The sequence below is a fragment of the Homo sapiens genome, chromosome 6 (genome assembly GCF_000001405.40).
Source record: "Homo sapiens chromosome 6, GRCh38.p14 Primary Assembly".
NCBI classification, from domain to species: domain Eukaryota; kingdom Metazoa; phylum Chordata; class Mammalia; order Primates; family Hominidae; genus Homo; species Homo sapiens.
In genome coordinates this window covers 6,153,877-6,175,559 of record NC_000006.12, presented here as the reverse complement: position 1 = coordinate 6,175,559, position 21,683 = coordinate 6,153,877, and the positions used below count along the sequence as shown (strand labels likewise).

General features: G+C 45.2%; 1 protein-coding gene and 2 non-coding genes across 3 annotated transcripts in view, besides 1 other annotated feature; 2 read left to right on the top strand and 1 right to left on the bottom strand.

Annotated features, from left to right (window-relative positions):
• F13A1 (coagulation factor XIII A chain) overlaps positions 1 to 21,683 on the top strand; it is a 176,579-nt gene that overhangs the window by 145,103 nt on the left and 9,793 nt on the right. The window contains exons 12-13 of the mRNA NM_000129.4: positions 693 to 980; positions 7,942 to 8,102. Coding sequence (NP_000120.2) covers positions 693 to 980; positions 7,942 to 8,102 — 449 coding nt within the window. The remainder of the gene's footprint in view (positions 1 to 692; positions 981 to 7,941; positions 8,103 to 21,683) is intronic.
• Positions 5,910 to 6,575: an enhancer, noted in NCBI's record as "OCT4-NANOG-H3K4me1 hESC enhancer chr6:6169218-6169883 (GRCh37/hg19 assembly coordinates)". NCBI's record gives its function as "activates a minimal SCP1, AML or CMV promoter by ChIP-STARR-seq in naive H9 embryonic stem cells {active_cell/tissue: H9 hESC(naive)}" and the evidence as "EXISTENCE:reporter gene assay evidence [ECO:0000049][PMID:30033119]".
• MIR7853 (microRNA 7853) lies at positions 6,125 to 6,256 on the top strand. The gene has a single exon (NR_107007.1). It is a non-coding gene; the product is annotated as a microRNA 7853 (primary transcript).
• MIR5683 (microRNA 5683) lies at positions 6,151 to 6,226 on the bottom strand. The gene has a single exon (NR_049863.1). It is a non-coding gene; the product is annotated as a microRNA 5683 (primary transcript).

The following is a 21,683-nucleotide window of genomic DNA, read 5'->3' as shown; positions in this document are numbered from 1 at the left end:
TGACCGGAGCACCTTGGGCAGGGTCGCCTTTTTAATGTCTTGCCAGAGCCCAGCATCCTTGGGGACTGGGGGATGCAAGTTTTGGTAGAACCTTCTGCCATGGCATGGGTGTTGGGGGCAATGGCAATTGAGTGAGATAGGGAAGAACGGGGCAGGAGCCCTCAAGGGTCAGCTCAGCAAACAGCAAGTGGGACAGGCCCAAGTGGAAGGAGAGATGAGGAAGACAGGTCTTATTGGGGGGCAGGTATTCACAAATCAGAGAGAAAAGTTACATTGCAGGAGGTGGAATGGCAAGAGGCAATTATTTCCAATTATTAGAGGTCCCCAAATTCTAGCCACATGGCTGGGACTAAGAAAAGCAAGCAAACTGACACCACAGTTTAAGAAAAGATAGACATTGCCAATTTTACCTCCCACCCCCTGAAATAGTGGCCCCGGAGAAACCCCTTTCTGGATAGATCCCAACACTGTCACCTCCTAACTTGCAGCCTAGGCTGGTCACTGACTGTCTGGCAATCTGACTTTGCAGAATTTATAACATAGGAATAATGACGGCACCCTCCTCCTGGGGAGGTCTGAAGCTTGTATTATAGAAACACCCCAACAAGTGCAGTACACGGTGCATCCATTAATGTGACTTTCTCTCTGGTGGATTGTATTTTTGCCTGTCATTATCTCTGGATCTCCCCCAGGTCAAGAAGAAGAGAGATTGGCCCTAGAAACTGCCCTGATGTACGGAGCTAAAAAGCCCCTCAACACAGAAGGTGTCATGAAATCAAGGTCCAACGTTGACATGGACTTTGAAGTGGAAAATGCTGTGCTGGGAAAAGACTTCAAGCTCTCCATCACCTTCCGGAACAACAGCCACAACCGTTACACCATCACAGCTTATCTCTCAGCCAACATCACCTTCTACACCGGGGTCCCGAAGGCAGAATTCAAGAAGGAGACGTTCGACGTGACGCTGGAGCCCTTGTCCTGTAAGCTAACAATGGTGTGGTTCTTTCTGAGACTCGCTGTCTGGCCCCTGTCTTGCTAGGTGTTAATGCCCGTTATAGCTTTATATCAAAGTTAAAGTTCCCTCCAAGATCTCAGAAGTGTGAGCCTCACAGGGAGAACCCACTCATTCTGCAAAAGCCTCCACTTTCTTTTTTTTTATTTTTATTTTTTGAGATGGAATCTCGCTCTGACACCCAGGCTGGAGTGCAATGCGATGATCTTGGTTCACTGCAACCTTTGCCTCCTGGGTTCAAGCAATCCTCCTGCCTCAGCCTCCCGAGTAGCTGGGATTACAGGCACATGCCACCACGCCAGGCAAATTTTTGTATTTTTAGTAGAGACGGGATTTCACTATGTTGGCCAGGCTGATCTCAAACTCCTGACCTCAGGTGATCCACCCACCTCGGCCTGCCAAAGTGCTGGAATTATAGGCGTCAGCCACCGCACTCGGCCCAAAAGCCTCCACTTTCATCCTCACGTCTCATGCACAGAAGTGAACATTGAAAATTTCAAAGCCTAGAGCCCCATGAGTTGTGAGAATTAAATGTAACTTCTTGCTACTCAAAGTGTGGTCCATGAGCCAGCTGCATCAGCATTCCCCAGGAGTTTGAAAAAAATGTAGAATCTCATGTCCCACCCCACACCCTCTGAATCAAAATCCATGTTTTGACAAGATCCCAAGCAGACTGGAGTGTACAGGAGAGTTTGTGGAGCATGGATCTAAATGATCCATCTCAGAAACAGGCCCTCTGCTGGTGCCTCTCGCCCAAGTTAGGAAAGTCTTTTGGGGGCTGTCCAGAATGAATAGTGTGCTTTGCTTTCCCATTCAAAAAGATACACGCGCTGACATAGGCCGCTTCTTAAAACGCTGTCTCCTGTAATCTCAGCACTTTGGGAGGCTGAGGTTAGCGGATCACCTGAGGTTAGGAGTTCGAGACCAGCCTGACTAACATGGTGAAAACCCATCTCTACTAAAAATACAAAAATTAGCCCGGCGTGGTGGCAGGCACCTGTAGTCTCAGCTACTCAGGAGGCTGAGGCAGGAGAATTGCTCGAACCCGGGAGGCGGAGGTTGCAGTGAGCTGAGATCGTGCCACTGCCCTCCAGCCTGGGTGACTGAGCGATACTCCGTCTCAAAAAAAAAAAAAAAAGAAAAGAATGGAGGCTGGAAACAAAGCTGTGTCATCTAGGAGGGGCCTAGGAAGAGGTTTTCTGCCTCTGCCATCTCTTGTGGGGCCTCTTTCTCGTCCTTGCATGCACATCCTTCCAAGCATTTTCATCACTGTAAAAACTCAGAATATTTTAAGCAGATCAGGGTCCACGTGCTACAGCTTGCCTTGGGGATTACAATCTCAAAAAATCACATTTCCTAGGATGTTCGTATTTGGTGGGCACAACAGTTGACCACACGATGGGCAACACAAGTCCATTGGAAGAAACTGGTCTCTAGGCAGAGAATGAGTTAGAGCAGGTTGCAAAGGACCTCGATACTTTGGGGCACCAATTTCTGTTGGCCTGACATGGGGCACTGAAGAGAAAAGTGTACAAATAATAATTTTGACAAAGCAAAGGCAAGCAAAACTAATACGCTCCCCTGGGATGGTCAAGCCACAAGTCTGAATTGCTCTCAAGCTCTCTGGATTTTGTGGCTGTCACAGATCATGGTCCCCTTACTGAGGTTTTGGAAAATATTCCCAGAAAAATGAGAAACTATTTTTTAAAATCCTAATTCCAAGGAACTTACTCAAATTTGAAGGAAGCAAATCTCCCCAGCTTCAGTAATGGAGCTAACAATTAAGAAATCACTATAGTGGGGCCAGGCATGGTGGCTCATGCCTGTAATCCCAGCAGTTTGGGAGGCTGAGGCGGGTGGATCAACTGAGGTCAGGAGCTCGAGACCAGCCTGGCCAACATGGTGAAAGCTCATCTCTACTAAAAATACAAAAAATTAGCCAGGCGTTGTGGCAGGTGCCTGTAATCCCAGCTACTTGGGAGGCTAAGACAGGAGAATCACCTGAACTCAGGAGGTGGAGGTTGCAGTGAGCCAAGATCGTGCCACTGCACTCCAGCCTGGGGGACAGAGCAAGACTTCATCTCAAAAAAAAAAAACACTATAGTGTTTTCTTTGGAAACTAAAAGCTTTGGCACTTTTCCTATTCCTAGGGTAGTAAAGGTAATTTTCATGGAAAAGAATAGTCAGTGTAAAGGACTGAAGAGGACAACAGTCATGGGGATTGTTTAAAACAGGCAGCCACATTTGATTTCAGAGAGTTTTGCAAATAGACAATTCTGGATGTAAGCGATGACTGTGTCACCTACCAGCTGTGTTTCCTGAGCAAGGTACTTAAGCACTCTGAGCTGTCTCTCCTCATCTGCAAAGGGGAAAAACAGCACACACACCCCGGGGTTCTTGATTCATTCCCCTAACCTTTATTTAGTGCTTGCAAGTCCAGGTTCTGTTTTATGCTGGAGACACAGCAATGCCTATTCTTACTGAATTTCTGATCTCATGGGGGAACCAAACAAACAAGTGAATCTATAGTATAGTTATATGGGTAATAGAAAAATACAAAGCAGGTTAAGGAAAACGGGGAGTACCTGTGGAGATGGTCAGAAAAAAAACCCTCTCTAATGGGGTGACATTTAACAGAGACCTGAGTGAAGGTCAGAAGTGAGCATTCCAGCCAGAAGAAACTGTATGTGCAAAGGCCCTGGGGCCAGAGCATGTCTGATGTGTTCAATGAGCAGGAAGGAGCCAGAATCAGGAACAAAGGTGGCAAGGGGGCAGTGCTGGGTGCAGACCATATAAAGAATTGTAGGCCTTTATAAGGCCTTTGGTTTTTATTTTGAGTGAGCTGAGGAGCCTTTAGAGAGTTTTGAGCAGAAATGTGGCATAATCTAACTTAGGTTTTGAAAAGACCACTGGCTGCTGTGTTGAGAAGAGACTAAAGAGGAAGTAGGGCGGAAGGTTAGAGACTGGTAGGATGCTTCTGCAATCACTCCACTGAAAGGGGTTGATAGCAGTGATGGAAGCAGCGAGAACCAGTCCGATCTGGGCATGTGCTGAAGGTGGAGCCCGCCTGATTGGCTGAGAGACTGGATATGTGGTGTGAGAGAAGGAAGGTATGGAGGAAGCCAAATGAGTGATGAATGTGAAATGTGTGCCACATGGTAGAATCTTAGTAAATGGTAACTTCCAACATGTTTACATTTGGGGAAACTGAAGCTCGAGAGATGAGTCGATGTGTTCAAGCCCCCACACAGCAATGAGAGGCAAAGCAGATAATAGAGTAGACAGATAATAGCAGTGACAGTGAGCCAGTTCAGGGTAAACTTGGCCCCAAGTGGGCCAGGTCCCTTCCTTGTGCTCCCATTACCTGGAGTCTAGCACAGATCCTTAGACAAAGAACCAAATGCCAGCCCTTTTCCCACCTCACAAGTGTCCTGTCTCATAATCTCCTTCCCCTTCCCTCTTTAATCCAATTAAAGAATGAGCTTGTATGGGTGAGTAGAATGATATCATTCTCTCAGTCATCGACCTAGGGACAGCTGACCAAACCTATGCCTGAGTCCATAGGAACACATCTCCCATTCGCTTGGCCAGCCCCAGGTTGTCCTGAATAACTTGAAGGGAACTGGAGACTCTTTGTTCCTTTGCCCTGCAGGCAGGTGGTATTAACTGTGACCAATAAATTGTATATTGAAATATAAATTAAATTGCAGTGTATTGCAAAAAGCCACATAACTTCAGGCCTTGATCAAGCATTCTTAGATGCCTCTGCTGCAAAGAAAGCTTTCCAAGTAGAATGGGAGGCATACTTTCCAGATTGATGATTAAAGGGAATGTGTGTGCTGGAATCAGCTTGGGAGATCTGAATAACTTAAACCTCTCCGTACCTTCAAAGGTGCTATCATTTCCACTTGGCTATATTTAGTTTTCTTTGCTTTTTGGAAAAGAGATGAGGCAGCTCCAGTCTGTGTCTCCCTTGGCTTTCCCCAGACACCGTAAATGATATTGGCAGCATCCCAGCCCTACCGCTCATAGAGCGAAAACCTATTCCTCCTTCTCCTGCCACGTTTAATAAACTTTATCTAGAACAATTTCTTGTGCAGTGGCAAAACACAGCACTTACATAACATACTATTTCAGAAGCACTGTTCTCTTGGGCTCTGAAGCACAGCCTGGTTTCTTTAGTGCTATGATTTAGGGAGTGTTCTACCTCAGAGAAGAAAGGGGTCCTGATACTGAGATTATAAAGGTAGCAAGAGCCTCTGTAAAGAAATCATATCCCATTAGCCAAAAGAAATCCAGTGGTCAAACATAGTCCTCTAGAAATAGTCAGAAGAAGTCATTTTATTATTGTTATTACTGGAAACAGCTAGAGGCAAAAGGCATCTTCTTCGAGGCCTTCCACCTTGCCACTTCATCCATTCTATCTAGAGACACGATAAACTGACCATTTGTGCTCATCTGAGGCTGTAACCAATAGAGGGCCAGAACCTCACTCATCTAAACAATTAATTGCAAGGGGAGCCATGGAGGAAGCAGGGTCCAGGCTTAGGTCCAAAGACAGCAATACGAGAGCGGGTCATTCCAAAAGGCAGGACCTGGGGGCCAAGGTCAAGGCAAGGTCATAGCTTTAAAGAGTCAGCTCTAAATGGAATAGCTCTGCCCCAGGAATCAAGCCAACAAAGCTAGCTCTTTAGCGCTTGCCCAAAATAGGCCAATACATTCTAATAATCCACCTGCCCTATGCGGGGTTTCTTGGTTTCAGCACCATTGACATTATGGGCTGGATACTTTGTTGTGGGACTATCCTGTGCATTGTAGGATGTTTAACTGCATTTTTGGCCCCTATCCACCAGATTCCAGTAGTAACCCACCCTCCACCCCAGTTGTGACAATCAAAAAGTTCTCCAGACATTGCCAAATGTCCCCTGGGGATAACATTGCCTCCTATTGACAACTACTAGTCTAGGATGACCAACCTTTCTAGTTTTCCAGGGATTGATGGGGTTCTCAGGATGCAGGCCTTTCAATTTAAAACCCAGGTAGTTCTCAGTCCACCCTAACTCTGCCCTAACTTACCCCTTCTGCTGTTAGAACCTCCTGTCTCTCAGAGTATCTCACACTTCAATAGGCATTGTCTGGGGTCTTATTCAAATGCAGATCCTGACTTCACTGGTGCAGTAAGAAGTCAGAGAATCTGCATCTGTAACAAGCTCCCAGGTGATGATGGTGCTGCTGGTGTGCAGACCGCAGGAGGAACAGCAAAGACCTGGACTGGAAAGCCATCCCTTCCACTGGAACCCAGGCTGTCTGCAGGGCTGATTCTACAGGGATGCCCCTGGTTGTTGGAGTGGCCCTTCTCAACCCTGGCTGCACATCAGAGTCAGCTGCAGAGCTGTTAAAAATACAGATGTCTAGGTCCTCCAAGGCTCTGATTTAATTGGCCTGGAATGAGAGCCAGCTTGGTAGGTCTTTAAGGGTCCCCAGGTGATTGTGATATAGAGCCATGACTGAGAACTCTTCAATCAGAAGTCCTGGAAGCAAGGCACAGCACTTACGCATCTGTAAAGAGACTTCCAAATAGAAGTGCTGCCCAAGACAGAGGCTTTCCCAGCCTCTTGGTCTTCAAGGTCCAGAGCAAGCTGCTGCAGATCCATCGCAGGTGTGAGAGTTCCTCCACAGATGATGGGCATGGCTCAATGCACCCACACCTTCGAGCCAGTGGGGAGTCAGGGGCCCTGCCCTCTGCTCTGGTGCATGCCCATCCACAGGCACCCCACCCTGCTGCAAAACTGCTGTTCAGTACAGCAGGCTAAAATGAATTACCCTCTGTGCTCAAACTGTTGGCCATGAAGCTGTTTCCTTCAATAACTTCCACAGGAAGGGGAAGTCTTTGGCAAAAGCCAGAAACTGAGAAGGAAAGCAGTAAAGACATTCAGTTCTGTGAAGGTTCATAGAGTCTGTTCTCTGTGGCTGGGGATGGAGGAATGAGTCACCCATTCACCTGCGGAGTCTGCCAGCTGTCGGCACATACAGGCATCTGGCTCCAACCAGGTAGCAGTGGGTGCACACCTGGGCTCAGCCTACAGAAAAACTGCCCATTGCTCTCTAGAATCCTGGACAGTGGGAAATGGGAGTTAGAGAGAAAGTGAGCCAGAGCCACAAGATAGAACTCACCATCCTCAGCCCAGATGGTAATTGGAGGGGAGCCAGGACCACTCTCCATCTTCCAAATGCCATTCTCATTGGCTTGTCCCCAGGACCTAGAAATCTGACATCAGTGACTGGTTTCCATTGAGAAAACAATTGTTTGGCACAGAGGTCTTCTAAATCACAAACAGAGGTTCGGAGATAGTTGAATGCCTTTGGTAGAAACTGGTTTCAACAGCTTCCTTCTCTTAAATAGAAAAATCATATCAGATTGGAGAGAAAATGTGGAATGCTACAGAGAAAATGTGTAGGTAGTTGACAATTTAGTCTGAGTGTGGCCCATGGCCTAGGTGAGACACTTCTTATTTGACAAGGGATCCTATGTGGAATGGGGGCCTTGGACTTCAGCACCCCACATGTTCCATTTTGGGATGATCCCGGCCCAAATCAAAGCCACCATTAAAACCCATTGGTCCTTCTTTGCCATGAAAATCACATCTTTTCCATGGCATTTCTTTTACAACAGCAAAAGAACTGTTTGGAAGGTTTGACACATTTTCTCCAGTGAGACTTCAATGAATATTAAATTTCCAGCACATTCTTTACCTAAGAAGCAGGACAGCTTATCCCCAATTGACTCTTTGTTCCACTTGCCCCTTACCTTTGCTGTGTTCCTGGTGGCTTCCAGGCTAATGTGGGAGGGGTAGGGAAACTTGGAGAAAAGTAAAGCAGACCCTGTCTCAAGTCTTGATGCCAGGCCTGTGTGTGTTTTCTCCTACTAGTCAAGAAAGAGGCGGTGCTGATCCAAGCCGGCGAGTACATGGGTCAGCTGCTGGAACAAGCGTCCCTGCACTTCTTTGTCACAGCTCGCATCAATGAGACCAGGGATGTTCTGGCCAAGCAAAAGTCCACCGTGCTAACCATCCCTGAGATCATCATCAAGGTCAGTCTTAGCGTCTCATCCTGGAACAGAGACAAAGGCACGCAGACTTAGTGTTCATGTGTGCATATGCGTGCTTGTATGTGTGTGTGTGTGTGAATGAATGTCCTGCTCAAAAAAAAAAAAAAAAAAAAATACCAGTGCTAGGATCCTCTTGTTCTTTGAAAGAAGTAAACTGCCCTATATATAGACACATACATATAACACTTTCCTCTCCTCTCCAGATTTAAATATATAGATGTGGCTGCAGATATAAATATAACCTGTGGGTATAAACACACTTGTGGAGGAAGATAAAGATGTGTAATGGCTACAGATACTTAGAACTTTCAGTGTCTCCAGAATAAAGTGGGTCAGGCATGCTATAAGAGGTAGATAAACTGCCTGCAACATTTTGGACAGTAATATTGTTTATGGAGGTATAATTGTGGATAGTAGATTGCACAGATCAAAATATACAGCTTGATGATGATTTTGTATGTGCGTGTGCCTTGCAACCACAAGCCAGATGAAGAAATGGAGGATTTCCAACACCCCTAGAAGGTTCCCTCTTGCCTTTTACAGCCAATAACCCCCTAGACTATCACCAAGATAGTAACTTTTCTGACTTTTATCACCATAGGTTTGTTTTGCCCATTTGACCAGTAGTTTTCATGATGCCTCTCCAGTGATCACCAGAAATCTCTGCCCAAATGGCTCAAGAGACTTGGCAGAGGAAGGCCGAGGGTTGATGAGAGTGGAAGATAAATGTGGGAGCCTCTGTGCTCCTACTTCTCAGGCCCACAGCTGTAGCTTCTGGGGGCATCTGTGGTTGCATCCATGAGACGCCTTCCTGCCCTGGAAGCAGGAACCCAGGCTTCTGGCAGTGACCCTGAGGAGTGACATCTCATGCAGCCCTTATCCAGGTCTTAGAGCCCTTCCCTAGTCTCTGGAGAACAATCTTCTTGAAGTGATTAAGAGCAATTAGCACAGATCCTGCTAAACTACATTGCTCTAAAGTGGTAGATAAATCAAAGCTTTATAAAGTTGATCACATTTTAATGGTCCTAGAGGTGGGCAGGGTGAGGGTAGGTAGTCCTTGCTTCTCGTGAATCCTTTGCTGTGAGTCATTTGGAAAGCCAATGACTGCTGTGCAGCATTCAGAATGGCAGTGTTTCTTGGGTAACTACTGGGCTCCAGACGCTGTTCTTAAAGCACTTTACATGGTTGCATTTTCAACCACCAACAACCCCACAAGGTAAAGAGTACTGGCATCACTTTACAGATGAGAAAACTGAAGCACAGAGAGGTTCTATAACTCCTCCAAGGCCATACAGCCAGCAAATGGCGGAGCTGGGCTTCCAACCCCAGCAGGCTGGCTGCAAAAGCAGGGCTGGGAACCAGCTCCTTCAACTGAACGTTCTTATGGTCTGGTCCTGTGTAATTGACACAGTGAGCCACCCCAAGGCAAGTCCCACCCAAACTCACGGGCATGTAATGCCCATCAGGGAGCAGAACACCAGGCCCTTCTTTTCTACAAAGGCCTACATTGTCATGTCTCTTTGTTTCCTTCGCCTCTGTCATGGCCCACAGGCCCACCATGGCGTTGTGTGCACAGGACGCCTGAAAAGAATGAAAACGAGGCTGTGCAGGGTTGGCAGGCAAAGGGAGAAACAAATGCAAAATGGAGAGGTGGGGATTAGGGTTGCTGCAGAGGTACCATCATCCATGAGAACGTGAAGTTAATAGCTTAAGGTGCAGGATGCCCTAACCCCGAAGCTGTTCTTCACAGCTGGCTCTTCCTATAGACATGTGGGACCCCCTGCTGCAGGCCTGTCCCAGCTGCTTGGTGGAAGCAGCTTTTGCTACCCTTCTGGGCTATTGCGCAGGTTTCATTTATGAGCTCAACCCTGAACCTTCCCTGACAGCAGCAAGGCCTGTGTGCGTACCTAATTATGAAGTGACGGCCTGTCCCTGTGAAGGTCTCAGGAGAGAGGCTTCCCAAGCTGTGAAGTGCTCAAACCACAGCAGAAAATAGAATTTAATTGCACCACTGATAATAAACCGGATGTATGAAGGAAACTGATAACTTTCATCTTTTAGGCACTATTAATTTGCAGGATTATTTGTTAGTTATCTTCTGGGTTTACTTAAAGAGCAGTTTAATTCCCCAGGGCACAATCAGAATACCTTATCCCACAAGTTAGCAGACCTGGGCATGTAGAGAGTACTTTAAATGGAGAGTTATATTGTTTTGTGTTTCCTTCCACAAAGCAACCAGAGATGCTGTTCCTGGAGGAAACTTATTTAGAGGTAGGGACATTTGATAGGGAAGAGAGCATGAGAGAGATGGAGATTCTGGCTTCTGTCCATGCCAAGTTTGTTCAAAAAGGTGGAATGGGGCATCATCCCATAAACTGTCCTTTAACCATTAGCCCAACTAACTCCAAGGATAACCTAAATCCAAATGGAGTAGAAGTGCTCCTGGGTAAAGCACTCACACCCTAAGGACCACCCAGGAGTCACGGAGCTGTGAGAGGCCCTGAGTGCAGAAGCTCCGGCCTGTGGACTGGGGACCTGCCTAGCCTCCTGGAGAGGTGAAATGCAGAGTCATAGCAGGGGAGGGAAGGAGGGAGGGGAAGGGAGGGAGAGGAGAGAAGAACAGAGGGGAGAGGAGAGAACAGAGGAGAAAAGGATGGAGGGAGGGGAGGGGAGGGGAAGATGGAGAGGAGAAAAAGAGGAAAGAAAAGAGGAAGGCACAGGAGGGGAGAGGAGAGAACAGAAGAGAAGAGGAAGGGACAAGAGGGAAAAAGGAGCGAGAATGGGGGGGAGAAGAGAAAAACGGGGAGAGGAGAGTAATAAGAAAACTTCAAGTTGAAATATTCCAAAGGAGGCCTAGGGAGAGGGGTCAGATAAATTGTATAAAACACAACTCAATTAAGAGTTATTTTTTCTCCTTCCTTCCTTCCTTCCTTTCCTGTCTTTCTATTTTTATTTTAGATTTGAGGGTACATATGAAGGTTTGTTATGTAGATAAACACGTGTCACAGGGGTTTGCTGTACATATTGTTACATCACCCAGGTACTAAGCCCGGTACCCAGTAGTTATCTTTTCTGCTCCTCTCCCTCCTCCCATCCTCCCCACTCCAGTAGACCCCAGTGTCTGTTTGTTTCCTTCTGTGTGTTCGTAAGTTCTCCTCATTTAGCTCCCACCTATAAGTGAGAACATGCGGTATTACGTTTTCTGTTCCTGCATTAGTTTCTTAAGAATTATAGCCTCCATGGGCTTTTTTTTTCATATGCTTGTTGGCCATATCTATGTTCATGTCCCTTGCCCACTTTTTAATGGGGTTGTTTGGTTTTTTTCCTGTAAACATGTTCAAGTTCCTTATAGATGCTGGTTATTGGCAACATCACCAATCATCAGAGAAATGCAAATCAAAGCCACCATGAGATACCATCTCATACCAGTCAGAATAGCTATAATTAAAAAGTCAAAAAATAACTGGTACTCGTGGGGTTGTGGAGAAAAAGGAACACTTATATACGGTTGGTGGGAGTGTAAACTAGTTCAATCATTGTGGAAAACAGTGTGGCCATTCCTGAAAGAGCTAAACACAGAACTACCATTTGACCCAGCAATCCCATTACTGCGTAGATACCCAAAGGAATATAAATCATTCTATCATAAAGATACATGCACATATATGTTTATTGCAGCACTATTCACAATAGCACACACATGGAATCAACCTAAATGCCCATCAATGGTAGACTGGACACAATGCAGCCATAGCTGTAAAAAAGGATGAGGTCATGTCCTTCGCAGGAACACGAATGGAGCCAGAGACCATTATCTTAGCAAACTAACACAGGAAGAGAAAACCGAATACTGCACGTTCTCACTTATAAGTGGGAGCTAAAAGATGGGAACATGTGGATATATAGAGGGAAACAACACACACAGGGTCCTATTGGAGGGTGCAGGGTGCGGCGTGGGAGGAGGGAGAGGATCAGGAAAAATAACTAATGGCTACTAGGTTTAATATCTTTGTGACAAAATAATCTGTACAACCCTCATGACATGAGTTTACCTATATAACAAACCTGCACATGTACCCCTGAACTTAAAATAAAAGGTTTTTTAAAAATGAGGACTTGGAAAGGGAGCTAAATGCAGTAAAAGTACGAAACCACAATGGCTCAGAGGTCCAGAATTACATAGGATATGTTTCTCTAAATTCTAAGAAAACGCTCACACCCTTTTTCAACCTCTTTGAGCCTGGATGGACACACAACTGACTGAGCCTCAAGGTTGCTGTGGGCAAATGTGCCAGGCACAGGGTGAAATTATGTGAGAGACAGAGAGGAGACCACAGCCCTTCCTGCTCAGCTCAGTCAAGATAAGGGTTGGGACCAGCCCCTGGTGATTATGATGACAGCAGCTATGATTTATTAAGCACTACATTATTAAACGCCTCTCTTCTATGATCTTATTTAACCCTCTATACCATCCTACAAGGAGGACGTTACTATAACCCTATTTTACTGATTAGAAAACTGAGAGGACCAGAGAAGGCAGTGCCTTGTAGCACAGTGGTCAGAACATGGGCTCTGGAACCAAATCATCTGAGTTTAAAGCTTGTTTTCTGAACATCATAACTGTGTAAACCTGGACAGATCATTTCACCTCTGTTGGCTTCTGCATTCTCATCTGTAAGTCAAAAGCAATGGTAACTCTCCTCCTGGGGTCCTTGTGAGTTTTTTATGAGTCATTGGATGCCCGAGTCACAGTGCACACCTACATATGTTGGTTGCTGCTATTATTGCCATTATTGCTGTTTATTAGTAACTGGCCCGTGATCACGTGCCTGTTGAGGGAAGGAGAGACACTTCTGGCCCAGGTCTTCCTGACTTGGAAGCCTGTGCTGGCAGCCGCTGGGCTACAATGGAACTATCACAAAAAGCAGAGGTGGTCATTGACTTTGCAGAGAGTTTTGTATTCAAGGGAGGAGAGATCACACACACTTGAGTGGTGTGGGACATCAAGAATTAAGACTGTAGAAAGATGAATGGTCTCCAATGAACAGATAACGTTCAACCAGTAGAGATGGATGGAGAGACCCCTTCAGATACTAGGAAGAAAATGTTAGCAAGGGCTAGAGGGGAGGTGGACGGCAGTATGTAGAGCAGTGAGAAGCGTGCCTTGGCTGGGGTGGAGGCTGGGAGCAGGGATGAGTAAGGGTAACCTGAAAAAGATAGCTTGAGGCTATGTGGAGGGGAGTCTACAATTTTGGATGAGAGCTTTATCATCGACTCTCTGAACAAAGAGGCTTCAAGGGAGTTTCTAGAGTGGGAATGTAACATGATTGTCAACTCTGCTCTCCCACAAGTCGGAGCCGCTTTTTCTTCCTCCCTTCTCTTCAAAGCCTTTGCCCAAAGCATTGTCTTCTCCAGGAAGTACCCAACTCAGCCTTGGAACTGGAGTTTCCTAAAAGCTAGTTTCCAGCTGTTCTTACCTGATTCCCCTTTAGATCAAATCTAGGCCAATCTGGAACAATACTGGGCTCACATGTCTGAATCCAAGTCACCGTCAACCAAAGCAGGCCAGTGGCTTCCTGTTTGTGCATCCCAGTGGACCCAGTCGTGGATTTTACTGGTCCCTGTGGTGATAAAGATGGGGCCTGGGCTCAATAGTGCTCCCAGTCAACCATTCCCAGCACCCACCATGTGTGAGTCAGAGTGTGTGATCCTCACATGGAAACAGGCAGAGAGAGACAGTCATTAAACTTTAATGAGCACACGTCTCTTTCCCCATGCTATCAAAATATTTTGATGAGAAAAGAAAATTTCATTACAATCAGACATAGAATTTTTCTCTGCCTTCCCATGTGTTGCTTGTTCTCTCTCTCTCTCTCTCTCTCTCTCTCACACACACACACACACACACACACACATCCTCTCTCTGAACTTCAGTATCCCCTTTGCAAAGTGAATACACTATGATTATACTGCTCCTTCTATTAAGTACAGTCACATATAAAACACTGCACTGGGGGGATTGACATCTGTAGCAATGTTTGTGAGAATGCATGGCCCACGTCCAGACCTAGTAGCTGTTGGTAAATGTTCTTTCTCCTCTGTAGTCCCATCAATGCATGGGGGTTGCTTAGGGCAGCATGTGGGCCACTGGCCTGAAGTGGGCCAGTGGCCTGAGTGTGGCCCTCACCTAGTGGCATGGAATCTCTTGAATCTCTGGTCACCAGGTGTTGAGTGTATGCAGCATTCCCTGTGGAATGGGGCCTTCCTCATGCAGGGAGGCCCGCCTTGGAGATCCTGGAGTAAGGCCTAGGGGAGAGAGGAGACACTCACATGTTCCTCCAATGATCTCTACTCAGTACCTGCCATTCTAAAGCAGCTCAGGAGCCAGCACTTGTGTGGTATTATCATGTGGAAAAAGTCCTGCAGCCTTTGCAGGATGTCAGGAAGCACCAATAGAACTAATTTTCTCATGTGAACTAGGAACAATTTTGCTAGGAGAAAACATAACCATTTTTTATGTGTGTGATTTTTAAAGTTACAAGCATAAGCAAACAGATGTCTCCAAATTTTTCAAAAAAAAAAAAAGCTTTTAAAATGAGGACAATTGACTGTTTCCAAGAGTTTTTAAAAGTAAGCGTTTGCTCTGTATTTATTTTGTCCATTAGCTGAAAGACTTTCTAGTTTTTATTTATCTCTTTATTTAGTCACTCTTGCATTCATCCATTCTTCATATAGTTATTTGGTGCCCACTCTGTAAATAAATTGTAGCAAATGCCTAGAGCTTTCAAAACCATTATCAGAGAGGCCGGGTGCAGTGGCTCACACCTGTAATCCCAGCACTTTGGAAGGCCAAGGTGGCTGGATCACTTGAGGTCAGGAGTTTGGGATGAACCTGACCAACATGGTGAAACCCTGTTTCTACTAAAAATAAAAAATTAGCCAGGCTGTAGTGGTGCGTGCCTGTAACCCCAGCTACTCAGGAAGTTGAGGCAGGAGAATCACTTGAATCCAGGAAGCAGAAGCTGCAGTGAGCCGAGATCCCGCCACTGCACTCCAGCCTGGGTGACAGAGCAAGACTCAAAAAACAAAACAAAACAAAAGCAAAACATTATCAGAGAAAAATTCAACAGTGAGAACATTTTCTTTCTTTCCTTTTTTTTTTTTAGATGGAGTCTCACTCTGTCCCCCAGGCTAGAGTGCAGTGGTGTGATCTCGGCTCACTGCAACCTTCGTCTCCTGGGTTCAAGCAATTATCCTACCTCAGTCTCCCAAGTAGCTGGGATTACAGGCGCCCACCACCACGCCCAGATAATTTTTGCATTTTTAGTAGAGACAGGGTTTCACCACGTTGGCCAGGCTGGTCTCGAACTCCTGACCTCAGGTGATCCACCCACCTTGGCCTCCCAAAGTGCTGGGATTACAGGCGTGAGCCACTGCGCCCGGCCAACAGTGAGAACATTTTTGTTGCATTTTTCTGAAATGGGGAAAGGTTGCGCCACTTTCTTTCAGCACTGGCCCACCTGGAACAGCTCCAGGAGTGCAGTTGCTCTGTTTTAACCTGAGCTAACCAGCACTTACACAGAGCCTGGGGTGCTCCTCTTGCAAAGACAGTGTACATGGGGCCTGTGAAAGATGCTTAACCCACAGAAATCGACTTCAACAAGCAGAATATCTGCATGACCAGCACTGATTGGTGGGGAATTGTATAGATAACACAAGATCCATGGGAAGTATCACTGTTGACCCCGGAGAGGAGGCAGGGACCTTCCTCTGGGCGGCTTCCCTCCAGGCCAGCACTCACCCCTGTGCAGATTGTGCCCATCTGCAGGTGGGAAGGAGACAGTGAGGGGACCCAGTCCAGCCCACTCGCCAACCATCAAGCCCTGCAGCCTGGCATGGAGCCACATCCCCCCAAAAAAGGGGGTTCCCTTTTCCACTTTGCACAGTTGCATCCTGGCTCCAGCCCCATGTCCAGATCTCTTCCAACTTGGGACACTAGCTTGTTTTTTCTTAACAACCATCCTAATGTTGTGTTCTAACTGGAGCTTTTCATGAGATGCCCACAATTTTTACCGAGGTTAACAGTAGAATCCTCTTCAGTCTCCCTACGGCTCACACCCTGGAAACCCACCGGGATGGACCAAGGAAGGGTGGGTGGCTGTGGTGGCTGCTGATCTCACTCCTCCCACATCCCATTCATACAACTTTATCCCAGAGGACACATTAAAATTGGGGAAACCACTGGGCACGGTGGCTCAAGCCTGTAATCCCAGCACTTTGGGAGGCCGAGGTGGGTGGATCACGAGGTCAGGAGATCGAGACCATCCTGGCTAACACGGTGAAACCCCATCTCTACTAAAAGTACAAAAAATTAGGCAGGCATAGTGGCGGGCACCTGTAGTCCCTGCTACTCGGGAGGCTGAGGCAGGAGAATGGCGTGAACCTGGGAGGCAGAGCTTGCAGTGAGCTGAGATCACACCACTGCACTCCAGCCTGGGCAACAGAGCAAGACTCCGTCTCGAAAAAAAAAAAAAGAAAGAAAAAAAGGGGAAACCACTTGAGATATAATGAGTGCCCCAAACAAAGTACATGACAGTGACTGGCTACACTGTGAGACTTAACTGTAGTTTCATTTAGTGCTGTAAATATCACAAACTTCATTAAGGTGGAAAATGGGAACAGACTATGTGTTCTAATTATTGCTGAACCCTGACCATTTTCCCCTCCATGTCCACAACCGAGCACGTTCTCTCTCCAGCCTCCTGCACTCTCTGTGGCTCCATCGCACTCTCGTCACCAAGATTCACCCCTGCCCACACCCACACCCTTCATGGGGAGGCCGGGGATGGGAACCAGGAGGTGGGCTTCTTCACCTCTCCCCTTTGTGGCTCTCTTCTCTAACCCCTGAGAAACCGAATCCACGTCATTCTCCATAGAAGACCCTATAGGTGAGGAGGTTCTCAGGGTCACCCTGGCAACATGTTCTCCCTTTAAACCTCATATTTCATTAATGCTAGTATGTGTCAGATGCTCTGTTGTATGATATTACATTGAGTCACCCCACTAACTGCATAAGAAGCTGAGGCCCAGAGAAGTCAAGCGACTTGTCTAAAAACTCAAAGTGGCAGCCCCGGTCTTCAGCCCCTGCATCCAGCTTGCTCTCCCTTCAGCTTGGCCTGGAATAGCACCACTGTGTGCATCCCAGTCACCTCAGTTATGTCCGTGACACTGTTTCAGGTTATTTGTGGAGTAAATCAGAGGTATCTACCTATGAGTCCTGAGGGACTCTGAGCAAGGAAAGCCTGCTTACCCCAGGGGACCCTAGGAGGGGACACCTTCAGCCCTGCTCCCATAGCTGACTCTCCATCCCCTCGTGGCTACTTTCACAGAGGATTGTGGCCGTGGGACCAAACCGTGGGTGCCCTTAGCCAGGATAGATGATCGTAAACTATGTCTATGAGTGAGCCCTCCTCATCGAAGGTGTTCATTTCCATCTCTCTCTTCAGGACAGCTACAGAACAGTACACATTTTAGAATGAAAATGAGGAGTCACTGGTAACTGCGGTACCTAAAACATAATTTGCTCTGTGCATTTCATGTTTGCTATTTTTTTGAATCTTAAAAAGAGACACACATGAGAATAACCAATCTCACATTCCAGTCCTGTAATCCCAGTATGTTTGGGCTACTGATTCTCTTTTTAAAAGTGGCATCTCTCATTTTTAAAAGAGAAAATCCTAGATAGTGACTCCTATTATCATCAAGTAATATATATCAAGGCCCCAAGGCTACCTTGTCACATTTTACTCTGGCATAGAAATCTAATTCCTTCTCTATAAAGTCAAAAAGAGAGAGGTGAGTTATAGATGTTTTCTAATTTAGTTCAGGGTCAACTTATAATCCTCGTCCTCAACTGATGGTTTAGCGATAACTTAAAAGGTGATGCTGCAAATGATTCTTTGCTGGATTTCAGAAAATAAAGAAGCTATTCCAGCAAAAAAAAAAGTTTCTATTTTTACCTGTATTCTGTCAGGGATCACAGTATAGGTAGTTTTGAAGATGAATGTTTTAGAGTCAGAAAGACCTGGATTTATATCCAACTTCCGCCAGATTCCTAACTCTGTAGGCTTTTTATTTATCTTCTAAATTTCAATTTCACGTAAACAGAATGGGATTAATAATCATGTCTACCCCCAAGACCATAGGGCTGTAGAGAAGATTAAATAAGGTAGTGTAAGTAAACTGATGAACAGAATGCCTGCATTACTAAGTAAACACTAACTAAATAAATGTAAGTTACTTGTTATTATTGTTGTCATTAACCAGAGTCAGGATCACGTGTTGCTGAGCAACGGCTATGGCCCCAGACTGTCTACATTTGAATCTCTCCTACCCTACTTACTAATGGTGTGAACTTGAGCAAGTTACTTAACTCCTCTGTGCCTCAGTTTCCTCATCTATAAAATGAAGACTCCTAATATTTACCTCTTAGTGTTGGGAGGATTAAGTGAGTTGATAGAACTTTCTAGGGTAATGGGAACATTTTAAATCTGCTCCATCCAATGCAGTAGCCACGAGCCATATGAGGCTTTTGAGTCCTTGAAAGATGGCTCGTGCAACTGAGGAACTGAATTTTTTACATTTCACTTAATTTTAATTAATTTAATTATAAATAGCCCTAGGTGGCTAGTGGCTACTATATTGGAAAAATATAGACTGAGAACATTTCCTAACCACCCTAGAACCATTAGCATTGGTCAGTAAGTGTTCATCTAAGTGTCAGCTAAAAGCAGGGGCAGTGCCTGTGGTGATGAGCAGAGTTTGCAAACAAGAAATTGCCCATTATCAAAAATGATCACAGGCCAAGGGGGAGGGAAAAATACAGTTTCCAGAAATACGTGCAATACATGATTGAAAGTACTTGAAATAAGAGCTGTTAGGTGTGCTAATAAATCATGTATTTCAAATTGCCAACCTCACTTATTGTTACTCTTTCTCAAACTTTTTCCTTCATTTCAGTTTCAATTTTGAATACAGTTATGTATTTTTAAAGCATATGCTTAGTGGAAGATATCTTGTGATTTCTAAAAAAGTAATTTCTTTCCAAAAAGTTTATATAAGAGAAAGAGAGTATGTGTGTGTTAGTAACTTTCTTGTTTACCAAAGAATCAGAGTAGCAGCTCATTATCATGAATTAGTATAAAGGACAGGAATGTCAATATCAGTAAGTGATATGTAACTTGAAAAAGCATACTACGGGTTGATTTTTTTAAAACAGAGAGAGATATTTTCAATAGAATATTGAGAAAAACTTAAGGCCATCAAGTATATGCAAAAGCATTTGACGTCACCAAGTAAGACATATGCTTTATTCTTTTCTCTGGCCCAAGTAATGAATACTCTTCTCTAAAGCAAATACACATAAAAGTTTCTTCTTGAACTAACCTTCTCTAAATTGCCTGAAGGCTCCCTTTATTTAAGGTTTTATGAGAGCAAGAAAATGAAAAATATGACTGTGAAAATGAAATGAAAATATGACTATGCAGATATGGAATTATGCTTTCAGCAATAAGGAAAAGGGAGCTTTGCAGATTCCTAAAATAATGTGATGCAAACAGATATTTTCTCCCCAAATAGTCATTGTTCTCAGCATTTTGTAGGTACCATAGCATGGTGCATCACTGAAATCAACACATAACGTGAAAACACTATGTGTTGGCAGCATTTTCCTCAAAAGAAGCAAGGAGAGGGAGACACCTCCAGTTACATTTCCCAAGCAGAACACAGTGATGTCGAGCATTGGGTAGGTTTTTACATTTAGTTTGGTTTGAGTGTCTAAGGCTCATTATCATCAGTAGTCAGGGACAGGAAGTTTACATTCTCGGTGCAGGAGACAAGTGTCAGAAAAGGGACACTGGTCTTTGTTAATTGCAAAAGAAACACACTACAACCAGAGAAGGGCTTCTCCTCTCACCCCTCCCCATCCTTCTCCCTGCTCCCCACTCCAGCATCAGGGAAATCTGGGCAGAATTGATACACCCATGCCAGCATCTAATTACAGAGACAATACTGGAAGCAAACTGATTAGGCATGACATATGAAATTACCTGAGAAGGTTTAATGTCCTGAACATATTCAGATCTGAAGCCTATCTATGATGGCCCAATTGCATGGGCCAGTTTCTCAAATACTAAGCATTCCTTCTCACTGTCATCAGTGACCTGGAAGGGTGTATTTCACTTTCCACAGCGTAGGAGGCTTCATGTAGAGCCAGTCTACTGGTATGGGAAGGGTTCTTAATCTAGGGTTCATGGGCCCCTAGAAAACCATGTATGGACTTCATAGGTCTATAGTGCATCCCCTAAAAATACATGCCCATATTGTATATATCTTGTATTTGTCACTGTGTATGTCTGTGTAGAGGAAAGGTCAGTAGCTACTATCAGATATACTTTTGAAGGGGCTTATGCCCATCCTTATATAGCATACCATGGAGAAGACAGATGGCTCCAAAATATTTTTTCCAGAAAGAATATAGTGATCATAGCAAACACTTTTGCCAATAATGTCTCTGTGGCAGCTCCATCTTCTTCAGTTTAGAGAGCTTTTGTAAATGCTATCTTTATTTTGTATTTTTTAAATCCAAAGATGTTTTTGAAATGTTTCTTAATGCAGGAAAAAATATATTGGACACACTTGAGAATGAAATCAGGGACACCATGTAAAGTATTCTGATGTATTGCTACACCTTCAATATCTAAATTGATTGAGGCAGGGCCTCTGGGAAGAAAGTGAAAAATTCAGTCTGTCTTCCACATGTTTTGTCTATACCAGTGGTTTCCAACTGGAGGGCAATTTTGCTTACTAAGGAATATTTGGCAATTGCTGGAGACACTTTTGGTTGTGATGGCTGGGGTGCGGGGCTGCTCCTGGCATGCAGTGGGTAGACACCAGGGATGTTGCTTAACATCGTACCTGGCACAGGACAGCTCTGCAACAAAGATGCATCCAGCCCGATATGTCAGTAGTGTTGATGCTGAGAAGCCCTGATCTAGATCATGATTACTGTTTTTGCCACAGCCTTCAAACCAGGCTTCTCTCTCCACACCCCATGTGCCAGCCAGCCTAAAAGTAACTTCTGGTTCATGTTCTAGTTTGCCTGTCATTGAACCAGTCTCCTCCCCATTAGGCCTTATCCATTCTCAGTCTTGTCAGTGTGGCTTCAAATCCAATGTTGCTCCCACCGGTTTGAAAATCTCCCTTACTTTCTGACTGCCGTTTTTTTTTTTTTTTTTTGGACGTCAGTACGAAACAGTTTTGGTTGTCTTGTTATTGCTGAGTTGTTGGCTTTTCCAGCTCCTCTGACCTCAGAGTAGCACTCTATCTTAGAGTTCAAGATCTCCAGTTAGACAGACTTTAACTTCAATCCCACCTTGGTCATTTGGCAGCTTCAAATCCTCATTCAAGTTACCTATTTTCCTGAACCACAGTTTTCTCTTTTATAAAATGAAATGCCTGGCACCAGTGATCCTGCCCTAGAAAACCTCCTTCTTCTTAAGGGAA